This window comes from Homo sapiens, chromosome 15, assembly GCF_000001405.40.
Source record: "Homo sapiens chromosome 15, GRCh38.p14 Primary Assembly".
In the NCBI taxonomy this organism is placed as follows: Eukaryota; Metazoa; Chordata; class Mammalia; order Primates; family Hominidae; genus Homo; species Homo sapiens.
The window spans coordinates 99,483,793-99,493,504 of record NC_000015.10 but is presented as its reverse complement, the minus strand read 5'-3'; the positions used below and the strand labels follow the sequence as shown (position 1 = coordinate 99,493,504).

General features: G+C 49.4%; 1 long non-coding RNA gene across 1 annotated transcript, besides 1 other annotated feature; it reads right to left on the bottom strand.

Moving 5' to 3' along the window:
- Positions 1 to 745: 745 nt before the first annotated feature.
- LOC107984790 (uncharacterized) lies at positions 746 to 6,787 on the bottom strand. The gene is made up of 3 exons (XR_001751711.2): positions 6,636 to 6,787; positions 2,282 to 2,403; positions 746 to 2,031 (listed from the first exon to the last, which is right to left on the bottom strand). It is a non-coding gene; the product is annotated as an uncharacterized LOC107984790 (long non-coding RNA).
- Positions 6,827 to 6,876: a silencer, noted in NCBI's record as "silent region_6868". NCBI's record gives its function as "represses an Ori minimal core promoter by ATAC-STARR-seq in GM12878 lymphoblastoid cells {active_cell/tissue: GM12878}" and the evidence as "EXISTENCE:reporter gene assay evidence [ECO:0000049][PMID:35858748]".

Below are 9,712 nucleotides of genomic sequence, written 5' to 3'. Positions count from 1 at the left end.
GCCAAGAACCCAGGTGATTGCAATTGCTCTGGGGAAGCTAATAATCTGATGTTGCAAACATCATTAAAATCTACCCTGCCTTAGGGCCGGGCGCGGTGGCTCACACCTGTAATCCCAGCACCTTGGGAGGCTGAGGTGGGCAGATCACGAGGTCAGGACATCAAGACCATCCTGGCTAACACGGCAAAACCCCATCTCTACTAAAAATACAAAAAATTACCCAGGCGTGGTGGGGGGTGCCTGCAGTCCCCTACTCGGCAGGCTGAGACGGGAGAATGGTATGAACCCGGGAGGTGGAGCTTGCAGTGAGCTGAGATCGCGCCACTGCACTCCAGCCCGGGCGACACAGCTAGACTCTGTCTCACCAAATAAAAAAAAAATCAACCCTGCCTTTAGATATATTTTATTGTTGAATTCAAAAAAAATATTTATTTCCCAGTTCTCTTGCACCTTGGGTGCAGGCTGCGGGACGCTGGATCCACCCCATGCTCCCAGAGATGGGGAGCACACAGCCTCAGCTACAGGCCACGGGAGGTGCCTGCCGAGTGCTGCGGCGATACCAGGTCCCAGCAGGCCTCTGAGGATGAGGGCCCACTGAGCGCAGGAAGGGCACTGCACCGGGCCACACAAGCACAGTGAAGGCAAAATGACATCAGGGGTATGGAGGCCTGCGGTGGTCATAGCTGGGGTCCAGCATAGGGTGGTCAGCCTTGTCGAAAAGGGATGCTGTGTCAGGGTCATTCCTGGGCTCATGGCCTCCCAACCCAGCCCTCCCATGCTCTGTCTGTTCCCCTCCAACTTTGTCTTTGAGCTCAAAGCTTGTGTCCTCCCTTCTAAATACTGCTTAGAATATGGACTGGCCTGGCCTCAGGACCGCCCCCTGAATGGGCTTCCCTGGCAGGCCTGACCTTCCAGGAGCTGCCCACCTTGGCCTTCCCATTCCTCCTCAGTCCTGGAGGATCCGCGGCTCAGAGGAGAGTCTTGCAGTGAAGCCAAAGTCAGGAGGGGGACAAGGCAGAGCGATGGGAGACGAGGTTGGGAAGACAAGTAGGGTTACAGAGGGGGCTCGGGAAGTCATGCCAAGGGCATCATCCTTTTCCTTGGAGTTGCTGAAGACATGCCCAAGGTCATTGACTGGGGACTGGGTCAGCTCTGAGTTTCCAAAAGATAGCTGGGGGCCAAGGCCATTGGGCATGAGGACTGAAAACTCAGGACCCACTTTCCCAGCACGGAGGCTGCCTTCCAGCTCCCCTCCTGCCCCAACCAAAGGCTGACAGCCACCACAGCCCCGTGCTGAGCCCTGAGAGCTCCTCCAGGCTCCACCATCTCTTTCCCTTCCCCGTGGCTTGTCCTCCTCTACCTCCCTTTCTGTCTGTCCTGCTGGAGACCTCACACCTGCAGCAGCTCATCCCCAAATCCCTCCATATTCCCCTCAGTGGAACCCCCCTCCTGGCTTTGTATTTGTCTGTTCATCTTCTTGCTGGCTTCTCCTGGGGACTGTCTGTCTCCCTTGTACCCCTGGGATCTCTTTTGATCAGCTGGTTTGGAAGTGGCAATGACCCACACCACTCACGCCCTTCCTTGTGTCTCTGGAGGAGGCTGCCTGATGAATGCACATTGTCTCGATTGCTGTCTCTCTGGGCTGCCTTAGCTACACTTGCTAATTCTGGCATTAAGTGTTAGTTTAAAATTTAGCGCCAGTATTATGAAGGCCCACAGATAAATGCCATGTCTCCTAACATAGCCTGTGTATGGACTGAATGTTTGTGTCTCCTCCAGATTTACATGTTGAAATCCTAACTCCCAGTGTGATGGGATTAGGAGGTGGGACTTTGGGAGGTGATTAGGTCATGAGGGTGAAGGCCTCTTAAATGGGATTCACGCCCTTATAAAAGGGACCCTAGAGACCTCTCTTGTCCTCTTGTCCTCATGTGAAGACAGAGGAAAGGTGGCCGTCTGCAATCCGGAGGAGGTCCTGCATCGGAACTCAGCCAGGCTGGTGCCTTGATCTCCAATTTCTAGTTTCCAGGCCTATGAGAAAGAAAATCTTGCTGTTTATAAGACACCTGGTCTTATGGTACCTTGTTATAGCAGCCCAAACTAAGACATCGTGTCAGTAATAAAGGTGATATTTTGGGTTATATCTCTCTTACTACTTATTTCTCACTCGCTTCAGATGTTGGGTGGGGAAGAAGGGTGCTATTTGTTGAGCCCCCCGAAAGACCTCCTAATAGAGGGTCTCCACTTCTCCAGAGAGATTGCCACCCATTTCCTCACTTACTTGTTGCCTCCTTTGATACCTTGTTGTTCTATAGGTCTTTTCGCCTGTTGGTGTTTTGAAATGTAGAGGGAAGGACTTTCACTTCCAAGAAAGAGTAGAAGACAGCATCACGCAATGCAACGCTGCAACAAATAGAGAAAAGACAAACACATCAGGAACACATTGTGAAGATCTTAGGGAGCTGTGGATGCAATGAAGCCTAGATAAACTGAGATATGAGAGATAAAGCGATAAAGAGGCAGAGACCCACCAGGCATTCAGTAAAACATCTAGGAGAAACTCGGCTGAGGAACAAGAATAGTAAACCGTGAATGAGTCAAACTAACGAAACCTGCAGTCCACCCAGCTCAGTTCCTCATGGGTTGAGGTGACCGGCCCTCTCCCACCAACTGGACAGAGGAAAGGGTGAACCTTCTTTGACATCCTCCAGGGTTCTTTCACACACCATCCAGCATACATTAAAAATTTAAGGCCAGGCGCAGTGGCTCACGCCTATAATCCCAGCACTTTGGGAGGTAGAGGCAGGCGGATCTCTTGAGGTCAGAAGTTCAAGACCAGCCTGGCCAACATGGTGAAACCCTGTCTCTACTGAAAATACAAGGCTAGCTGGGTGTGGTGGTGCACACCTGAAGTCCCAGCTACTTGGGAGGCTGAGGTACGAGAATCACTTAAACCCAGAAGGCAGAGGTTGCCGTGAGCCAAGATCATGCCACTGCACTCCAGCCTGGGCGACAGAGCTCTGTCTCCAAAAAAAAAAAAAAGAAAAGAAAAAGAAAAAAAAATTAAGACATATGAAGAGGCAGGAAAACATGACCAAAATTTTTTTAAATCCAAACTACAGAAGTGGTCAAGGACTTTAGAGTTAGTAGGTAAGGACTTTAAAATAACTATAAAAAATATGTTAAATGAAATACAGGAAAAGATGACCAAATGGATGAAAGATAGAGAATTTAACAGAATATTAGACTCTATAGAATAATTAATTGAACATTCTAGAATTTTTAAATGCAGTATCAAATCAAGGACTCTGGGGTGAATTTAACAGCAGTGGGACATAACAAAAGATGGCATGAGTGAACTCCAAAACCAATAGGAAATTTTCAGAAAGAAGCACAGAGAGAAGAGCATGAAAAGAGCAAAAGAGAGTGTGGAAGATGCATGGGGAACCATCAGGTGTCTAATGTAGTTGGGGGCCTACAGAAGAGAGGAGAGAATGACATAGAAGCAGTATTTGAAGAGAAAGTGGCTGAGAATTTTCCAAAACCAATAGAAAGCATCAGCTGAGTTGGTGTTCATTGAAGAACTCAGCAAACCCCAAGCAGGATCAACACAAGGAAAACCACTCTTCGGCACATCGTGGTCAAACTGCCGAAAACCATGTATTAGAAAAAGGCAGATGCCCTGCAAAAGAGCAACTATAAGGTGTACAGCTGGCTTTTCAACTCATGGTGAGCAGAATAATGATCCTTAAAGATGTCCAGATCCTAATCCCCAGAACCTGTGAATATGTTACCCCACATGGCAAAAGGGACATTGTAGATAGGATTAAGGTAAAGACCTTTGCATAGGGTAAGCATCCTGGACTGTCCAGGTGGGATCCACGTAATCACTAGGGTCCTTATGAGAGGGAGGCAGGAGGCTCAGAGTCAGAGAAGGAGATATGAGGATGGAGGCAGAGGTCGGGTTGATGCCATGGCTGGGGAAGATGCCATGAGCCAGAGAATGAGGGCAGCCTCCAGGAGCTGGAAAAGGCAGGACACAGATTCTTCCCAGAATCCCCAGAAGGCACACAGCCCTGCGGACACCTTGATGTCTTTTTTTTTGTTTGGAGTCTTGCTGTGTTGCCCAGGTTGGAGTGCAGTGGCATGATTTCGGCTCACTGAAACTTCCGCCTCCTGGGTTCAAGTGATTCTCCTGCCTCAGCCTCCTGAACAGCTGGGATGACAGGTGTGCACCACCATGTCCGGCTAATTTTTGTATTTTTAGTAGAGATGGGGTTTCGCCATGTCGATCAGGTCGGTCTCGAACTCCTAACCTCAAGTGATCCACCCGCCTCAGCCTCCCAAAGTGCTGGGATTACAGGCGTGAGCCACCGTGCCCAGCCCCATTTCAGATTTCTGACCTCCAGAACAGTAGGAAAATAAATTTGTGTGTTTTTAAGCTTCTAGGTTTGTGGTCATTGGCTACAGCAGCAGAAGGGAATAAATACACACTAGAAGATAGCAGGTGCCTTGCTGAGGTGCTGTAAGTACATAAATGAATAGATTTGCCGCCACTTTGCCCACCAGACCCCTTACCCCTCTCTGTATTCTTTTTGTTGCCTCCAAGTACCTATTTATTTATTTATTTATGTAATTTCAATAGGTTTTTGGGGAACAGATGGTGTTTGGTCACATGAGTAAGTTCTTCAGCGGTGATTTCTGAGATTTGGGTGCAGCCATCACCTGAGCAGTGCACACTGTACCCAATATGTAGCCTTTTATCCCTCACCCCCTCCCACCCTTTCACCCGAGTCCCCAAAGTCCATTGTGCCATTCTTATACCTTTGCATCCTCATAGCTTAGCTCCCACTTAGGAGTGAGAACGTCCTGAGTTACTTCACTTAGGATAATGGTCTCCAATTCCATCCAGGTTGCTGTGAAGGCCATTATTTCATTCCTTTTTTATGGCTGTCTCTCTGTATTCTTAAAACTAATCACAATGAGACCCTTAAATGTAAACTTCGATACCTCAAGCAGTCCTAGAAACAGATGAAACTCCAATCTCTTGACAAATCCAGCACTTCTAATGCATGGTTGTTGAAAATAGGAGATAACACTTAAGACTAATTAATTATTTTTCTTTTTTTCATGCTTCCTTGTCAGTGACCTTCCCCCCAGTTTTGCTAGGGGAGGATTGAGATTATTATAGCTGGATTACAAAGAGAAAGTGACAACATTCCTTCTTGACATCCCGGATAAGCTCCTGAAACCCATTTCAGAAACAAGAGTGAGTCTTTCAATTCTAAGAGCCAAGTACTTGAGAGGAAGAAGTCTTGTAAATTCCAGAAGCATTCTTTAACCTATCAGGCACCAAAGCCGAAGAGACTGGACATGAGCTTTGTTTTTTTGTAGTAAAATACACATAACATAAAATGTATCATTTCAACCTTTTTTTTTGACTCTTGCTCACTGCAACCTCCTCCTCCCTGGTTCAAGCAATTCTCCTGGCTCAGCTTCCCAAGTAGCTGGGATTACAGGCGCCCGCCACCACGCCCGGGTAATTTTTTGTATTTTTAGTAGACATGGGGTTTCACTGTGTTAGCCAGGCTGGTCTTGAACTACTGACCTCAGGCGATCCGTCCACCTCGGCCTCCCAAAGTGCTGGGATTACAGGCGTGAGCAACCACCCCCATTTTTTTTTTAATTAAAAAAAATTTTTTTTTAATTATTTTTTATGTTTATTTTATTTATTTATTTATTTTTTAAAGACAGGGTCTCGCTATGTTTCTCCCAGAGACACTGAACTCCACTGGCGTCTAGTGACTATTCACAGGTCTGATCATAGCTCACTGCAGCCTCCGACTCCACGCCTCAAGAGATCCTCCCACTTTAGCCACCTGGGTAGCCCAGACGACAGGCGCAAGCCATTTTGTAAGTGTACAATTCAAGGGCATTACATATATTCACATTGTTGTGCAACCATCACCACCATCCATCTCTAGAACTTCTTCATCTCCCAAACTGAAACTCTGTCCCCACTCAGCACTCACTCCCCTTTTCCCTCTCCCCTGCCCCTGGCCCCTGCCATTCATTCCCCTTTCTGCTGCTGTGAATTAGACTATTTCATGTTCTGCAGAAGAGTGGAGAGTTTTGCTTTTCAGCTCTAGAATGGGAAAGGAGCAGGATAGAATATGTGGGCAATTTCCTGCCACACAGGAATGCAGTACATCCCATTTTCCTGGGCTGGAAGAAGAGCATGAAGAGAGAGGGTGGAGTAAAAGAATTGAGGCCTGAGTGAGCGCCCTCCTCTGTCACCGGAGGAGGAAGGATGGGGACCCCAGCAGGTTAGGGGATCCCAGAATGGAGGGTGCTTACTTCCTGCCAGCCAGAGGGCCCAGCCCCCTCCTAAGATTGTACATGGAGCTCCCAAGCTCTCACATGCCTCCTGGGAAGACTGAGCCCTTCCCAGAGACTGAATTCACCCCCGGAATGGACTAAACGGCAAACTCGATGTGACTGCGTTCTCCAGGATGGACGAGGTTTGTATTTTTCCACTACTGAACAGAAATGGGGCTCTCCAACAAATGGAGTTCAATGGTAGAAAATAAAGTTAACATTTCTGAGCATCTGAATATTAATTATAAATTTTATACCTGCTACAAATACCCTGGCCCGAGAGATTCCTTCCTGTCCCCTGCAAGGTTCAAGGCATCCCTTGGCTCCCTAAGCTGTTTGGCTCTGAGCTGGGTGGGGCCCGCACGCAGGAGCAGCAGCTCCGTGTAGAAAGCTGTTTCGGATTTCTCCCCTGGGCAGGGTGCCACACGCACATGTTGCAGTCCCTGCCGACAGCCATGCCCAGCGCCCTGGCAAGCCACCCGCCCCCCAGGCTGCTTAGACCACTGGGTACCGCCCCCTGCTTCTCCCGCCCCCACCTCCTTCCTCCCCCGACTCCACCCCTCTCCTGCTCCAGGAAAAATATGTGGACGTCGCACGTCCCTCCTGTCACGAAACACACAAAGAGGACAGAGGGCGAAGGCGGGGTCCGTGGGAGCCCAGGCGACCTCAAGGCAGTTCACTCACGCAGCCAGCCCTCAGAGACGTGGGCTGCGTGTCTGCTGCCCGCCTGGGGAAACTGCAAGGGGCTGACTGGGTGGTGCCAGGGATTTGCACGCTCGGGGAATCTGTGGGATTCACATCTGTTTCTCCAACATTTCTCTCGCCTCTGCCAGACGTGAGCTCCTTGAAGGCAGGACCAGGCTTGGTTATTTTGAGTCTCTCCATCTCATCGGTCCTTGCTGGACAGATCCCTTTTTCATGGAGTGTCTCTGCCCTCACCCCTCACTCCACCCCAGCCCTCGGTAGTCCCATAGAAGCTGTGGGCTCCTGCAGCTCAGGCCTGGGGCAGTGCTGGATTCAAAATATCATAGCACAGTTCAGCAATCGGAAATGGATTCCACTCTTCACTGGCATTTCCCCTAAAGATCTTAGACGTGGCACCCGTCATAGTCTCTGCAAAACTTCTTCTCTTCTCTTCTCCTTCTCTTCCCTGCCATCCTTGAAATGGCAAGGACAAAAACGGCACCTCTCCTCCCAGCACTTCCTTCCTCTCTGGTCTTCCACCCCTGCCCCCGCTCCACCTTTTATCTTGCTTGTTGACTTAACTGCTTCCTCTCACCTCAGGGTCCCAGCCTTCCCCTCCATTCCTGCTCAGAGGTGGCTTTGGAGCCTATAGAACATGCTCCAAGGTCTTTGGGGCGCTGGTAGATCTACACTCACACCCTCTCACCCTGGCAAGACCTGCAAAGCAGAAGCTGGCACAGCTGGAGGAACAAGAGGCTGAATCGGAAGAACTCATTCAGCTGAATCTTGACGGATGGCCTTTTCCTGTAAAATACAGAGGAGACAGTGCATGCAGTTCAAACGCAGGCTGGGCTCCGTCTCTCTAGGGTGGGGAGATTTGTTCCTGCCCCCAAAACACCCCTTTCTTTTCACGACCCTTGTGCTCCTCTGGCTGCCTGCTTAATGTGCCACCCACACTGCACAGACCCCTCCCTAGGAATGTCCCCACCAACAATCTCAGCTGTGGCCTCAGGTCCACCATGGACACTCTGAGTCCCCAGGGATGCAGGCAGCCCCTAGAGGCTGTGGGATATTCCCAGGATGAGGGGTGGTCAGACACAAGAGTCTTTCATGAAGGTCAGAAGGCTCCAGGTGCTCTGTGTGCAGGTCAGTCGCCTGTACTCAGAAGGCAGGAAGAAGCTGCCTCGTGAGCTGAGGAGGGCAGGAAGGGATGCCATTTGCCTTTCAGGCTTCGTGCCTCCCTGCTGGAGGCTTTTTTGTGTTTATTTTTGCCTTATTTTGGGGTCCATTTAAAAAATCCTCACGCCATTAAAGTATGTCATTAGGGAAGCCCTGGGCCCTTCTTACGAGGCTTTGAGTATGAATGTCAGCCAACATCTCTACTTTAGTTAGCTTCATCTTTTAACTCTTTGAAAAGTGAGGACAAAGAATAAATATTCATTCCATTTCTTTTTTCTTTTTCTTTTCTTTCTTTTTTTTTTTTTGAGACAGAGTCTCACTGTGTCACCTAGGCTGGAGTGCGGTGGCGCTATCTTGTCTCACTGCAACCTCTGCCTCCTGGGCTTAAGTAGTTCTCCTGCCTCAGCCTCCCCAGTAGCTGAGACTACAGGTGCCTGTCACCACACCTGGCTAAATTTTTTTTTATTTTTTAATTTTATTTTTATTTTTAGTAGAGACGGGGTTTCACCATTTTGGCCAGGTTGGTCTCAAACCCCTGACCTCAAATGATCCACCAGCCTTGGCCTCCCAAAGTGCAGGGATTACAAGCATGAGCCACTGCGCCTGGCCTCTTTCCATTTCTTGAGTTCAAATCTATACCCTTGCGTGTGTGCCCCAGTGCTGCAGCTACGGAAATCCACTTCCAAGGCCTAGGGTGGACCACAGAGACCCTCCCTCACCCAGCAAGGACCCCCCAGGTAGCTGGGCTCATCTGTGCCCCTAGAGACACTCTGTGGCCCGTGAGGCAGGAATTATGGTGCCATTCTAGACAGACACTTGAGTGTTTATGGAAACGTCAAGCAATGAGAGCTAAGCTTATTTTAGTGATTCTTGTGTGCCAGGCACTGTTCTAATTAATTTAATCTTCACAGCTCTTATTTCTTGAGGTAAATACTGCTATTACCCCCCATTACAAATGAGAAAGTTAGGGCCCCATGAGGATGAGGGATTTGTCCAACGTCACATGACTCATACGTGGCAGAGGTGAGGCTGGAACTCGGGCCATCTTCAGAGTCTACTTTTGTGTGTGCTCAGCTGGCCTCAGCTGAGAGGCAGGTATGGAAGCCAATCCAAAATGCCTGCAGGGACCCCCGGACTAGACAGCCCTCAGCCTTCATGGGGCCGGGGGGCAGTGGGCAGCTGCTCTTGAACAACAGGCAATTGTTACCTTGCAGGAAAGCAGGCTCAGTGTGTCAGACACTCCTGCTTTTCAAGAGAAGCTGGAAGTTCAGGACCAGCCTGGCCAACATGGTGAAACTCGATCTCTACTAAAAATACAAAAATTAGCGGGGCGTGGTGGCGCATGCCTGTAATCCCAGCTACTTGGGAGGCTGAGGCAGGAGAATCGCTTGAACCTGGGAGGCAGAAGTTGCAGTGAGCCGAGATTGTGCCACAGTACTCCAGCCTGGGTGACAGAGCAAGACCCTGACAA